Genomic DNA, 16,512 nt, shown 5'->3' with positions numbered 1-16,512 from the left:
ATGTGAACTTGAGCAAATTTTGGTAAGAGGCTGCTCCTTAGTCCTCATTTTATATGAATCATAACTTAAAAGATTGTCAAGATAATTAGAAATTAGAAAATAGGCTCTCAAAGTTAAGTCTGACTTAGTTAGTCTTTTTATTATTATTATTATTATACTTTAAGTTCTAGGGTACATGTGCACAGCGTGCAGGTTTGACACATAGGTATACATGTGCCATGTGGGTTTGCTGCACCCATCAACTCATCATTTAAACATTAGGTATTACTCCTAATGCTATCCCTCCCCCAGTCTCCCACCCCCTGACAGGCCCCGGTGTGTGATGTTCCCCGCCCTGTGTCCAAGTGATCTCATTGTTCAGTTCCCACCTATGAGTGAGAACATGCGGGTGTTTGGTTTTCTGTCCTTGTGATAGTTTGCTGAGAATGGTGGTTTCCAGCTTCATCCATGTCCCTGCAAAGGACATGAACTCATCCTTTTTTATGGCTGTATGGCATTCCTTGGTGTATATGTGCAACATTTTCTTAATCCAGTCTATCATTGATGGACATTTGGGTTGGTTCCAAGTCTTTGCTATTGTGAATAGTGCCACAATAAACATACGTGTGCATGTGTCTTTATAGTAGGATGATTTATAATCCTTTGGGTATATACCCAGTAATGGGATTGCTGCGCCAAATGGTATTTCTAGTTCTTATTTAGTCTTATTTCTAACACAAATCCTGCAGATTTCCTTCTCTGAATTTCCCAAGTAGAAGAAAAAAGTTCTTCCAGGTGGTGGTGAGAAAGGACCTCTGATCAGCTGATGTTAAAGAAAAAGCTGACACCGACACTGACACTGAAATAGTACATCTTCCTGGAGTCCATTAGCCAAAAAGAGGAGAAAAATAGTCCTACCTTCTTCATTAGGTCCTGAAGGGAATAGAAAAATTAGGCAAAATAAGAGTGGCTCAATATAACAACCCACCAAAAGTTTTCCATCTACCCAGAATGTTGTAGTTAAGAAGGCAGAAGGTTAGAAAACTTCTGGAAATATTTTCATCCATGATTTTAAAGGATTTATTTATTCAATATCCATGAAATCTTTACTTACCTGTCATATTCTAGACACTCTTTTAGGTACTTGAAATACGTCAGTTAGCAGACAAGAGTCTCTGTCCTTGTGGAGCTGAAGTTTTTGTAGAGATAGACAATCAGTGAATACAGCAAAGAAATAAGCATTACACGATGTTAGAAGGTGCTAAGTGTAATGAAAGATGGGGGGCAGGGGAAGGGAGGGCAGGGGAAGTGGGAGGGGAGAGGAGCAGTTTGTGGTTTTAAGTAAACTAGTTTGGGAAGTATCAAAAAAGTTTGACACTCAAAAGAAAAACCCAAAAGGAGGATGGTCCTGGGAAAGCTAAAAATCACAACTCATTTTCTGTCACTTAATTTCTAAATTGAAATTCAACTTTATATCTCATTGCCCAGGTCCACTTAAATTCTTTTGAGAATGAGCCCAGATGTGTCCCCCACAGTGCCTAGGATGTCAACAAACATTCGCTTTGTCAAGCTTTTGATGGATGAATGAATGAATGATGACTATAAAACAGTCTCCTCAGAGAAATAATGGCTCAATTCACTCTAATAATTGAGAACCCATCTCCCAAGTGGTGTTCTGCTTCCCTCAGAACAAGCACATCTTTTACTCCCTGTTTCTCTCCCTGGTGAATTTCTCATTCACTGCTTCCAAGAGAGATGATATGTTTGGGCCAGTATGACACCTTTCACTATAGAACTCTACTCTTAGGCAGCCTCACACCAAGCTGCCTCATTGTTGAGTTTCCTTATAGTTCCTTTTCGTTCCAACAAAGACCAGAGGTCCAGGCCAGACTGTTATGGTCAGGATGACAGGGTCCCTGGCAGTAGGTGGGAAGGCACCACAGTTCAAACTCCCAAGACACGTTCCTCAGAAGGAGGCTGCAAGATAGGCAGGCATATAACGGTTTTATGAACCAGCAGATATTAGTTTCAAGAAGAAAATGAGGAGAGTGAGGTTAAGTTATTAGATAAGCTGCTGAGTTGCTGTGGGAATCTCTGTGGTTTTAATATTGATTCATTTCACTGCAAGCTGAAGTAATAACTTGAATAGGCTCACATATCTAACAAGATATGCGAACCTGGCCCCTAGCCAGGCAACAACCAAGTTACTAGATTCTCAAATGCAGAATGCTTTTTATTACATCCATTTAACTTACAACAGTGCTTCTCTTATATTAGACTTTTCACTTTCCTACGCCATTCCACACATCTGCAAAATCTCAAAAGTTAAGAGTCAGTATCATAAGTATGGAACAAAGGCCATACTTAAGAAGACATGTCCAAACCAAAAACCAAAACTCCGGTAAGTGAGTTTTACAAAAGTGTTCACTGTCTCATGAGGCTGGACCTGAATCAGTTCTCAAATATCTGAATTATGTCTACTGTTTAATTCTTTTGCGTGGAGGTTCTTTTGGGTCAAACACATTTATCTGTTTCCTCTTAATACTTAACTCAGTGTTCCAAGCAAGGCACTGGACAGGGCAGGATTTGATGGAAATGTGCTGAGCTGTGCTTAAGCTGACAAAGAGGAACAGTTAGCAGGGTGGCCTGGTGAAAATCAACCCAGATCAAGATAAACACCAAGGACAGTCGTTCAGGTTTCATTTTTAAGGTGGTGTAGCACTGAAGGGCTATGTGTCTGATGACCAGATGAAGGGATCAACCCAGCTGCTTCACTGAGAAGAACAAGAAAAACACATTATTTGCGTTAGGCTTGCCTTTGACATTGAACAACAAACAGACATCAAAACCCTTCTCTAATGGCAAGTCTTTCTCAATGCTTCTCCAGAGATCTTTTCAGTCATGCTTTCTGCTCAAACATCTGGGACTGTGTCAGACCGCGTTCATCAGTGGTGGCAAACTTCTGGTTCATGGGTAGGACACAGGATGCAGGGACATTTTGCCAGGGCTGCACTGAGTTTTTAAAAAACATTTAAGATAGTTTCCAGTATTTAAAAACTGAGAGGTTTCATGCAAAAATCCTGATACCCAACTTGTCTTGACAAATCACAAGATGTGGCAATACTGACAAGAAGGGTTAGATTTGGGCAGCCGTTGTTCATTTCAGCTAGACAAGGATGCATCAACTCACACAAACCTCTGCCTGGTTTTATGCATAGGTGTTACCTGCTTCATATGTGAAAGCATTTAAATTGTTGACAAACTGCTCTGACCATTTTGACAACTGGTTCAAAGCAGGGAATTACAGCCATCATTTATTGAGTGCCATAATATGGGCAGACAGCATTCTAAGCTCTCTCCGTGTACAAACTCATTTATCCCTCCGACAACTCCATAAACTCCACAAACTACAAAAGGGAAACTGAATCAAGAGAAATTCAGTGATTTACCGGGGGTCACGCAAGTAGGAAGTGCTAGAGATACGAGGAGAGCCAAAGAGGCTTGACTCCAGATCCCGATGCCTAATTTCTAATTTACCCTGCCTTTAAGATTAGCTTGACTTTGTGATTCCTCTCAGGGTTGATTACCTGGTCAGTTCTAGCCTCGCAAGTATTTCTCATCATATGTACCTTGCACATACAGGTAGATACATGATACAAGCCATGATATGTATGTATATATCCTGATGATCAGATTAAATATTTATTCATCCGCTCAACATCTGAGGGGCCTAAAGAAACAAGAAAATTAGCTACAGACATTGGCAGCCGTTGGGTAGAAATGAGCCGTAGCCTGTTCTGTGAGGAGGTGGCTGTGAAGGGTGTGGAGAGGAGATGGATGATGTGGCTGTCAGGAAGACCGCGAGCTCCTGAACCTCACTGGCTTTTTGGACTTGAGCTGTGCTCTGATCCAAACCACACACTGGGCTCAAGCTTTCCTGATTGATCTCAGAGTCTTCTTTCTCTGCTCAGGTTCCTCGTGACTATTTCAGGCCAGTAACTCCCAGACCATCCTCCACAGCCACAGCTTCATCCAAACTTGGATTTCCCCCAAACAGCCTTCCCTGGGGTTCATCGCATCTTTCTTGCTTCCTCTGAGATATCTTTTCTCTTCTCTGAAGGCTCTTTTATTAATAAGACCTGAAGGCTGAAATCATCCTTTTTCTTTCTAACAAAATAAACTACTTAGATATTATTTGTTTTATTCCATTTCAGAATATTCCCACTTTGAGAGTATTTTGTTGTTGTTGTCTGAGGCTTTTTGTTATTGTTTGTATAATGAAGCCCAGGCTGAAGACACTGTGGCGTCCCCAAGGCACTGCCTCTCAGCCCTGGAATTTTCCTTCAGCCTCAGCCAGCCACGCCCTCGGCTTCCTGTGGGCCCTGGCCTGAGAGCCCCTGCATCTGGAGGGCTGCTCGCCTCACATAACCACCTCCTTGCTGAGGCTCCAGGCTGGGCCTTTCTGGGAACCATAAATACCCAAATTCCCATGCTCCTCCCCAGACACTCTCAGAACCCCGGTCTCCTTGGAAAGTATTTCCTATCCTTATTTTCCAGGACTTCATAATTTAAATGGATTATGTTTCAGGGGAGGTGCAATTGATATCTTCAGAAATCAAAACCTTCTGGGGGAAAATTTACAAAATGAGGACTCCTATAACACCATATTTGTCTCACCTTTCCCTTGATTTTTATTTTTTACTTTGAGTACAAGGTACTGTCACTGTTATGGACTGAATGTCTGTGTCTCCTCCAAAACTCATGTATTGAAGTCTTACTTCAATATGATGATATGGTTTGGCTGTGTTCCCGCCCAAATCTCACCTTGAATTGTAGCTCCCATAATTCCCATATGTTGTGGGAGGGACATAGTTGGAGATAACTGAATCACGGAGGTGGTTCCCCCCATACTAATCTCATGGTAGTGAATAAGTCCCCCGAGATCTGATGATTTTATAAGGGGATTCCCCTTTCGCTTAGCTCTCATTCTGTCTTGTCTGCTGCCATGTAAGACGTGCCTCTTGCCTTCCACCATGATCATGAAGCCTCCCCAGCCATGTGGAACTGTGAGTCCATTAAACCTCTTTTTCTTTATAAATTACCCTGTCTTGGGTATGTCTTTATCAGCTGTATGAAAACAGACTAATACACAGCAGGTGAGGCCTTTGGGAGGTAGTTAAGTCTTTAGGGTAGAGCCCCCATGATGGTATTAGTGCCCCTATAAGAAGAAAAAGAGACACCAGAGTTTCCTCTCAGCCATGTGAGGGTACAGCAAGAGCAAGAAGGCAGCTATCTGCCACCCAAAGAGAGAGCCCTCACAAGGAACTAAATCTGACAGACCCTTGATCTTAGACCTACCAGCCTGTAAACTGTGAGTTTAAGCTATGGTTTAAGCTGCCTGGTCTATGGTATTTTGTTATAGCAGCCTAAGCTGACTAAGTTACCAACCGCCAAAACCCTTAGAGGTTAGGAAATCCTTTGAATTTCAATATGCTAGAATTAAGCTCCACAAAAGCAAGGATCTTTGTTTTGTTCACTGATATATCTCAAACTTTTAGCATTTCATAGGCACTCAATAACAATTTTCTGAAAAGAAGAAAGATCTCATTATTTAAGAACACACATATATATATTTAGAGATGGGGGTCTGTCTGTGTTGTCTAAGCTGGAGTGCAGTGTCTGTTCACAGGCACAATCATAGCTCACTGCAGCCTCAAACTCCTGGGCTCAAGTTATTACCTCAGCCTCCCAAATAGCTGGAACTACAGGTGCACACCACCATGCCTGGTAAGAACGATTATTATAGACTAGTAAATACATGAGAACTCACTGGTATAGCTCAATCACTATAAACATTTAAATGATCTTATCTATAACAATTTCCTTGGCAAGAAATAAAATTTTCTCTTCAACCTGAGTCACATTGTGAATTTAAATTATTTTTAAGATCTATTCTACTCCTTATTTTACTAAATTTCAAGTAACAAAGATACCTCCAACAAAGAAAGAAAAATACAGGAATACAAAAATTAAGAGTGCTCATTTTGATCCTGAACATTAAATTCTTTTTTTAAAAAAAAATATTTCTATATAACAAAAGTTACATGAATTTTCAAGATAAAAAACCTTTTGTCAATGCTTAGGGCAAATTACATAATAAAATATATTTTTTGCTTAATATCACTAATTCCAAATCATTCCTGAAAGTTTTCTGGTAATAAAGTCCTTTTCTTTCCTCTAGTAAAACCAAGGTTTAAGCAAAAGGCTATGTTTAATATCTTTATGTTGACAGTGTCTGGTAGATGATAGATATTCAATAAATGTTTGTTGAAGGAATGAATTTAGTTACTTTGTTATAGGGCTAATAGCATCATATTTTGAGAACCAAATTTGACCAATGGCTAGTAACATTGGCATACAAATGCCATGAGCTACAGTCTATCCCCGGAACATGTTATTGCCCCATGTTTCCAAAGGAGAGCTAAAAAGTTCAGCCTAGTTGACCTTGTTTTGCAGAAAATGGGGTTGTGAGAGGTCTTCGATCTGAGAGAGAGAGGGGAGATTGTGGGCAAGATGGAATAGACTAGACAGTTCCCTAGGTTTCCTGAGAGCACCAATTGGGGTTGGTATTGAATAGAGTTGACAAGCTTGTTTGATCTGAAAAGGGACATTGATATCAGTGGCAGAACCTAGGAATCTGCATTTTTAAACATGTATCCTGAGATAGATGTTTTGTAAATATGGTCAGAATTCTCCACCTTTCCTGAATCCATGCCACTTTCAATGTATCATCCCTGCTCCTCTCCCAAAGTTGTGAAGTCTGTTTCCCCACCCTTGAATTTGGGCTGGTCTTGCGACTTGCTCTGACCAAAAGAGTGTGGCAGAAGTAACACTGGGCTGGTGCTGTGCTAGACCTCAGGAGGTCTTGCTTGCCTCTACTTATGCTCTTGTTTGCTGCCACTGTGTGAGCAGGCCCAATCTAGTCTGCTGAATTATTCAAGACATGTGGCCCTTGTCACCCCAGTCAATAGCCAGTTAGCTATCAGACATATGAGTGAGACCATCCAACTGTGCCTGAGAAATGACTGCAGACACAGCAAGCCCAACCAAGATCAGCCAGGCCAAGCTGACTGGCAACTACTCAGTTGGCAGAAGTGCAGTCAGCCTACAGATTTGTAGGCAATAACAGATGGTCACGTTGAGCAACTGAGTTTTGAGGCTAACCAATGCACACATTAAATGATTTCTACAATCAGGCAACCTTAGGAAGCATTAGCATAGATGATATCTGCAGCTTTCTTGGAATAAAGAGATACATTTGAATGCCAAGCTCTATAAATCCCCAGTATTTAGCTATTCTGCCTCATTAATGAAGACAAGTAAAAATAAAATTAAGAAAATCGTAACTAAATTTTAACAGCTTAAAAAATCCACCAAAAGCCATCCAAAAATCACCAAGAACTATGATCTTCTAGGGAGGCACAGGGTTAGGTTATGAAAATAACCAAAGCCCTTGGGAGTGTGGCCTATGATTGCCATGAACTCTCTAAAATACTCTGTTTAGGTTTCTCCTCACAAATTCAATTAATATATGAAGCAAACAATGGTTCTTAATTTTGTTTTTCCTAGACTAACAGGTGATGGTACAGTAATGATTTTCAAGTAGCATAATTTGAGGAGTCTGGAAATAGATGCTGAATTCTTCATTTTCTACCTATGGGCACATTTTATACTCCTTCTAGTCCTTTGCCCAATAATAACACTGTATTTTAGTTGATGTTTCCAGATTAATGGATTGATGACTAGACAGGAAATCCTGTGCCAGTCCACAGGGCAAGTTGCCTTAGCTATTTATTAATCACCAAAAAGTGAACTGCACTGAGTCACAGCAGCAAATTAGAGAGGAAATCTTAGTTATATTGATAATTTTTAATTTGCCCCTAGGTCAGCTAGAATGCATAAGGGAAAGTGTTATAGGAACAGTATGTCTAAAAGAATACCAGAAGTCAAGTTGTTTGAGCAATCTCCTTCTTTGGAGACTAATGAATGAGTTACAGTAATGATCCTTATGTTCTGGCAACAATGAAAAAGAACTACTTTTTCAATTAGCACATTGATTAGAGGTTTCATAAGTACATTTATTCTCCTTTTATCAGCTAATAGGTTTTCTTATTGGGAAAACAATTCTGTCATGGTCTTACCTATTATAATGTTTTATTAAGACTCGTTACATTTTGAAATAATAAAAAGAAAATAGCACAAAAAAAATGATTCAAAAAGTAACCTTATTTTGAACAAATTTGCTTGACCAATGTATAAACTCACAACAAAGAAGAGAAAGGGGAGACCATAAACACTCAATATTTCATTCAAGATTTCAATAGATTTTTAGAAAAATGGAAATCATATGCAGGAGTTGTGAATGATCCAAGTGGAAAAAACAATAGTCAAGAATAGGTAGAGATAGGTGAGTGATATGGTTTGGTTGTGATCTGCCACAAGAAAACTCATGTTGAAATTTGACTCCCAAGGTGGCAGTGTTGGGAGGTGGGGCCTAGTGGGAGATGTTTGGGTTATGGGACAGGATCTGCCATGAATAGGTTAATGCCATCTTGCGGGATTAAGTTCTTACTATGATGGGACTGGATTAGTTACCTAGAAAGCAGATAGTCCCTTCTTGTGTTTGTTCTCTCTACACATGTCCTCTTCCTTCCATGTTTCTGCTGTGAGTTGAAGCATAACAAGAGCCTCATCAGAAGGGCTGCCCAACCTTGGACTTTGAAGCCACCAGGTTCACTAGCCAAATAAACCTCTTTTCTTTATAAATTACTCAGTCTCAGGTACTCTGTGATAGCAACGTTGAACTAAGACAGTGAGCATCTGTGAAAGGAAATGATCTGCCCTAAAGAACTACATGAAGCTTGAATTTGAGGATTCTAGGTACAACAGAGGGTCAGGGTGAGTCATGGGACTAAATATGGAACAAGGGCATAATTGAAGTCCATAGACTAACAGACCAAGCTAAACTTCACCCGGAAGCAGATGCCCAACAGACAGGTTTTTGCTCTTCCAACAAGGAGAGTTGTTTTCTTAAAAACTGAAAGAAACATTCAAAAGAATTAAGGCCTGATTGTAGGAGGTCGTATCCCCTAAAAATGATCTTCACATTCTCATATTAGGGTTTCCAAAACATAAAGACGGATCACCACTCTTTTATTAGACAATACAAGCTTCATCCTTCTTCATAGAGCTGCTTTTCCTAAAAACCCTCCAGGGAAATTTGACGTCTTAACTACACACATTTATTTCTTTAAAATTTTAAGTTGTTTTTATACACTTGGAAATTAAAAACTAAAGTAACCTTCTTATTACATTTTCTACCATCTTGGAGGCCATTTTCTATTCATGTTTATAATGTTATATTGATTACAAACTATAACATTAATAATTTTTTCTGACTTAAAAATATCCCTAAAGTAACTTCTTAAGGATGTGCTTACCAGATTGATCTTCACAGTGCTAAATATTATAGCAAAAGAAAAAGTGAAAAAACAGGCAATCTGGGAATGATTAAATAAATCCCTTGCACAAAATGAAATGCTATGCAGCTAGCCAAATTTTAGTATAAAATTTATTATTTAAAAATGTTTATCATATGTTATTCAGTGAAAAGGATGTTAGAAAATATGACAAAAGGCACTATTACATTTTTTATTTCTTATACTTAAATATCTAGATATGGATTTAAAAAAATGCCTGAAAACATATTCAACAAAATTATAACAGCAACTGGCCCTGGGTGGCAGGATTATGGGTAGTTTGTGTTTTCTTTTTCTCTTTTTTACACACATTTTTAAAATTCTACATAAACATGTAATATTTAAGTAATTTTATAATTTTATTCTTGAAGCAATCTTACTGTTCTTTTTTCTTTTTCTTTTTTTCCATTCTTATTCTCTTCTATAGAAAAGAACAAGAAAATATATATATATATCTGTATATCTATCTATCTATCTACCTATCTATCTATCTAAAGCTATATAAATGGCAGATCTATATAGCAATAGATAGATAGATAGATAGATAGACCTAGAAAAATCTCTTCTGGACATTGGCCTAGGCAAAGAATTCATGACTAAGACCCTAAAGGCAAATTGTACCCAATATGTAGTTTTTTATCCCTCACCCACCTCCCACCCTCCCTCCATCTGAGTCTCCAATGTCCATTAACCACTCTGTATGTCTTTGTGTACTCATAGCTTAGCTCCAATTTATAAGTGAGAACATACAGTATTTGGTTTTCCATTCCTGAGTTACTTCACTTAAAATAATGGCCTTCAGCTATATCCAAGTTTCTGCAAAAGGCATTATTTTTCTTTTATGGCTGAGTAGTTTTATTAGTCCATTCTCACACTGCTGATAAAGACATACCCAAGACTGGGCAATTTAGAAAAGAAAAAGGTTTAATGGACTTACTGTTCCACATGACTGAAGAAGCCTCAAAATCATGGTGGAAGGCAAGGAGGAGCAAGTAATGTCTTACATGGATAGCAGCAGGCGAAGAGAGAGCTTGTGCAGGGAAACTCCCCCTTAGATCTCATGAGATCTCATGAGACTCATTCACTATCACAAGAACAGCACAGGAAAGACCTGCCCCCATGATTCAGTTACCTTCTACTGGGTCCCTCCCACAACACATGGGAATTCAAGATGAGATTTGGGTGGGGACACAGCCAAACCATATCAGTAGTATTCCATAGTGTGTGTGTGTATATATATACACACTGTGAAAAATGATGTTGGTATTTATATTTATATGTGTGTGTGTGTGTGTGTGTGTGTGTGTATATGCTTTTTTTATCCACTCATTGGTTGATGGACACTTAGATTGTTTCCATATCTTTGCAATTGTGAATTGTGCCATGATAAACATTCACATCCAAGTGTCTTTTTGATATAATGACTTCTTTTCCTTTGGGTAGTTACCCAGTAGTGGGATTGCTGGATTGAATGGTAGATCTACTTTTAGTTATTTGAGAAATCTCCGTACTGTTTTCCATAGAAGTTGTATTAATTTACCTTTTCACCAGAAGTGTATAAGCATTCTCTTTTCACCACATTCATGTCAACACCTTTTTTTTTTTTTTTTTTTTTTTTTTTACTTTTTAATGACAGCCATTCTGGCTGGGGTAAGCTGGTAACTCACTGTGGTTTTAATTTGCATTTCCCTGCTGATTAGTGCTGTTGAGCATTTTTTCATGTTTGTTGGCCATTTGTATATCTGCTTTTGAAAAGTGTTCATTCAATGTCATTTGCCCACTTTTTGATGGAATTACTTGATTTTCCCTTGCTGATTTGCTTCAGTTCCTTGCAGATTCTAGATACTAGTCCTTTCTTGGATGCAGAGTTTGCAAATGTTTTCTCCCACTCTGTGCACTGTATGTTCATGCTGATGGTTATTTCTTTTGCTATCCAGAAGTTTTCTGTTTGATTAAGTCCCATGGATTTATTTTTGCTTTAGTTGCATTTGCTTTTGGGTTCTTAGTCATGAATTCTTTACCTAGGCCAATGTTCAGAAGAGATATTCCTAGATTTTCTTCTATAATTTTTATGATTTCAAGTCTTAGATTTAAGTCTTTAATCTATCTTGAGTTGATTTGTGTATATGGTGAGAGACAGGGATCCAGTTTGATTCTTCTCCATGTGGCTACCCAGTTTTCCTAGAACCATTTATTGAACAAGGTATCCTTTTCCCAATTTATGTTTTCATATACCTTGTCAAAGATAATTTGTTCTAAATATTTGGCTTTATTTCTGGATTTTCTGTTCTGTTCCATTTGTCTGTATATCTATTTTTATACCAGTACCATGTTGTTTTGGTAACTACAGTTAGTATATTGTAGTATAGTTTGAAGTTGGGTTATCGTGATGTCTCCAGATTTGTTATTTTTGCATAGAATTCCTTTTTTGATTCCATATGCATTTTAGAATTGTTATTTCTAATTCTGTGAAAAATGATGTTGGTATTTTGATAGAAATTGCATTGAATCTGTACATTGCTTTGAGTGGTATGGTCATTTTCACAATGCTGATTCTTCCAATCCATGAGTATGGAGTGTATTTTCATTTGTTTGTGTCATCTATGATTTATTTCAGCAGTGTTTTGTAGTTCTCCTTGTAGAGATTTTTCACCTCCTCAGTTGAGTAGATTCCTAGGGTTTTCTTTTTGTTTTTGTAGCTATTGTGAAAGGGATTGAGTTCTTGATTTTATTTTCAGCTTGATTATTGTTGGTAGATAGCAGTGTTCTTGATTTGTATGTGTTGCTTTTGTAACCTGATTCCTTACTAAATTTATTTATCAAATCTAGGAGTCTTTTGGAGGAGTCTTTAGGGTTTTCTGGTTATATGATCATATCATGGGCAAACAGAAATAGTTTGACTTCATATTTTCCAATTTGGACGCCCTTTATTTCTTTCTCTTTCCTAATTGCTCTGGCTAGGACTTCAAGTACTATAATAAACAGAAGTGATGAAAGTGAACATCCTTGTCTTGTTCCTGTTCTTAGGGGGAATGCTTTCAACTTTTCCCCATTCAGTATAATGTTGGCTGTGGGCTGGTTATATGTGGCTTTTATTATTTTGAAGTATGTTCTTTCTATGCCTAGTTTGTTGAGAGTTTTTAATCATAAAGGGATGATGGATTGTATTGAGTTTTTTTCCTGTTTCTATTGAGGTGATCATATGGTTTTTGTTTTTAATTCTATTTATGTAATGAGTCACATTTATTGACTTGTGTGTGTTGAACCATCCCTGCATCCCCGGAATAAAATCCATTTGATCATACATTGCCTTTTTGATGTACTGTTGGATTCAGTTTGCTAGATTTTGTTGGGGATTTTCTGCCCTTATGTTCATCAGAGATATTGGTCTGTAGTTTTCTTTTTTTTGTTATATTCTTTCCTGGATTTGATATCAGGGTGATACTGGCTTCATAGAATGAGTTAAGGAGAATTCCCTCTTTCTCAATCTTTTGGAAAGTTTCAGTAGGATTGGCACAAATTCCTCTTTGAATGTCTGAATGAATTTGGTTGTGAATCCATCTGACCTGGGATTTTTGTTGTTGTTGTTGTTGTTGTTGGCAATTTTTAAATTATTGATTCAATTTCATTGCTTGTTATTGGTCTGCTCAACATTTCTATTTCTTCCTGATTCAAGCTAAGAGGATTGTGTGTTTCCAGGAATTTATCCATTTCATCTAGATTTTCTAGATTGTGTGCAAAGAGGTGTTCATACTAGTCTTGAATGATCTTTTCTACTTCCATGGTGTTGGTTGTAGTGTCTCCATTTTCATTTCTAATTGAGCTTATTTGAATCTTGTCTCTTCTTTTCGTGGTTAATCTAGCTGATAATGGTCTATCAATTTTGTTTATCTTTTTAAAGAACCAATTTTTGTTTCATTGATCTTTTGTATTTTTTGTTTTAATTGTATTTAGTTCTGCTCTGATCTTTGTAATTCATTTTACCCCTGCTAAGTTAGGGTTTGGTTTATCCTTGTTTCTCTAGTTTCTTGAGGTGTGACATTAGGTTGGCAATTTGTGGTCTTTCAGAATTTTTGATGTAGACATTTAATACTATAAACCTTTCTCTTATCACTGCTTTTGTTGTATCTCAGAGGTTTAGATAACTTGTGTCACTGTTATCATACATTTTGAATAATTTTTAACCTGTTGTTAACCCAAAAATTATTCAGGAACAGATTATTTAACTTCCATGTATTTGTATAGTTTTGAGTGTTCCTTTTGAAGTTGATTTGTAGTTTTATTCCATGGTGGTGTGAGAAGATACTTGATATAGTTTTGATTTTTAAAAATTTATTGCAACTTATTTTATGACCTAACATGTGGTCTATCTTGGAGAATGTTCCATGTACTGATTAGAATAATATATATTCTGCAGTTCTTCGGTAAAATGTTCTGTAAAATATCTGTTAGTTCTATTTGTTCTATAGTGCAGTTTAAGTCCAGTATTTCTTAATTGATTTTCTGTCTTGATTGTCTGTTTAGTGCTGTTAGTGAAGTGTTGAAGTCCCTCACTATTAGTATGTTGCTATCTATCTCTTTTCTTAGTTCTGGTAGGAATTGTTAAATGAATCTGGGAGCTCCAGAGTTAGGTGCATATATATTTAGGATTGTAATAACTTATGTTGAATTGATCTGATTGATCCTTTTATGATTATGTAATGAACTTCTTTGTCTTTTTTACTGTTGTTGCTTTAAAGTCTGTTTTATCTAAGAATACCTACTCTTGCTCACTTTTGGTTTCCATTTGTGTGGAACACCTTTTTCCCCCCCTTGACCTTGAGTCTATAAGAATCCTTCTGTGTTAGGTGTGTCTCTTGAAGTCAGCACATATTTGGCTTATGATATTTTTATCCATTCTCTCAATCTGTATCTTTTAAGTGAAGTATTTAGACCATTAACATTCAACTTTAATATTGAGATGTAAGGTACTGTTCCAGTCATCACGTTGATTGGTACCTAGATACTTTGTTTTCTTCTTTGTGTTATTGTGTTTTATAGGCCCTGTGAGTTTTATGCTTTCAAGAGGTTTTATTCTTGTGCATATTACCCACTTGTTTCAAGATTTGGAACTCCTTTTAGCATTTTGTGTAGGACTGGTTTGGTAGTGACAAATTCCCTCAGCATATGCTTGTCTGAAAAAGACTATTTCTCCTTCATTTATGAAACTGAGTTTCACTGGACATAAAATTCTTGGCTGACGGTTATTCTGCTTAAAAAGGCTAAAAATAGGGCTCTGTATTAGTCTATTCTTACACTGCTATTAAAAACATACCTGAGACTGGATAATTTATGAAAAAAAGAGGTATAATTTACTCACAGTTCTGCAGGCTGCACAGGAAGCATGGCTGGGGTGGCCTTAGGAAACCTACAATCGTGGCAGAAGGTGCAGGGGAAGTAGGCACAGTCTTCATATGGCCAGAGCAGGAAAGAGAAAGAGCAAAGGGGGAAGTGCTACACACTTTCAAACAACCAGATCTCATGACAGCTCACTCACTAATATGTGAGCAGCAATGGGGGAAACTGCCCCCATGATCCAATCACCTCCCACCAGCTCCTTCTCCCAACTTTGGGAAATAAAATTCCCAAATAATACACCACCACCATGAGATTTGGGTGGTGTATTAGTCTGTTCTCATTCTGCTATGAAGAAATACCTGAGACTGGGTAATTTATAAAGGGAAGAAGTTTAATTGATTCACAGTTCCCCATGGCTGGGGAGGTCTCAGGAAGGCACCTCTTCACAGGGCAGCAGGAGAGAGAATGAAAGAAGTGCAGAGTGAAGGGGGAAAGGCTTCTCACAAAACTATCAGATCTCATGAGAACTCACTCAATATCACGAGAACAGCATCAGGGAATTGCCCCCATGATTCAATCACCTCCCACAAGGTCCCTCCCCCAACACATAAGGTTTACAATTTGGATTACAATTCAAGATGAGATTTGGGTGGGAACACAGCCAGGCCATGTCATTCTATACCTGGCTCCTCCCAAGTCTCATGTCCTCACATTTCAAAACACAATCATGCCTTTCCAACAGTCCCCCAACTTCTTAACTCATTCCAGTATTAACCCAAAAGTCCAAGTTTGAAGTCTCATCTGAGACAAGGCAAGTCCCTTCCATCTATGAGCCAGTAAAATTAAAAGCAAGTTAGTTACTTCCTAGATACAATGGAGGTACAGGCATTGGGTAAATACACCCATTCCAAATGGGAGAAATTCGTTAAAACAAAGGGGCCACAGGGTGCACACAAGTCCAAAATCCAATAGGACAGTCATTAAACCCTAAAGTTCCAAAATGGTCTCCTTTGACTCCATGTCTCACATCAAGGTCACAATGATGCAAGAGGTGGATTCCCATGGCCTTGGGCAGCTCTGCCCCTGTGGTTTTGCAGGGTACAGCTCCCCTCCCAGCTGCTTTCACATCTGGCATTGAGTGTCTGTGGTTTTTCCAGGCTTACGGTATACTACCATTCTGGGGTCTGGAGGATGGTGGCCCTCTTCTCACAGCTCCACTAGGCAGTGCTTCACTGGGGACTCTGTGTGGGGCCTCCAACCCCACATTTCCTTTCTGCAGTGCTCTAGCAGATGTTCTCCATGAGGACTCTGCCCCTACAGCAAACTTCTGCCTAGACATTCAGATGTTACCTTACATCCTCTGAAATCTAAGCAGAGGTTCCCAAATCTCAATTCTTGACTTTTGTGCACCCACAGGCTCAACACCACGTGGAAGCCACCAAGTCTTGGGGCTTGCACCCTCTGAAGCAATTGTACATTAGCCCCTTTCAGCCAGGATGGGAGCTGAAGCAGCTGGGATGCAGGCCATCATGTCCTGAGGCTGCACAGAGCAGGGGGCCCTGGTCCTGGCCCAAGAAACTGTTTTTCCCTCCTAGGCTTCCAGGCCTGTCATGGGAGAGGCTGCTGTGAAAATCTCTGACATGCCCTGGAGACATTT

Source organism: Homo sapiens, chromosome 2, assembly GCF_000001405.40.
Source record: "Homo sapiens chromosome 2, GRCh38.p14 Primary Assembly".
Classification (NCBI taxonomy): domain Eukaryota; kingdom Metazoa; phylum Chordata; class Mammalia; order Primates; family Hominidae; genus Homo; species Homo sapiens.
The sequence above is the reverse complement of the archived record's forward strand: the minus strand, read 5'-3'. Positions refer to the sequence as shown.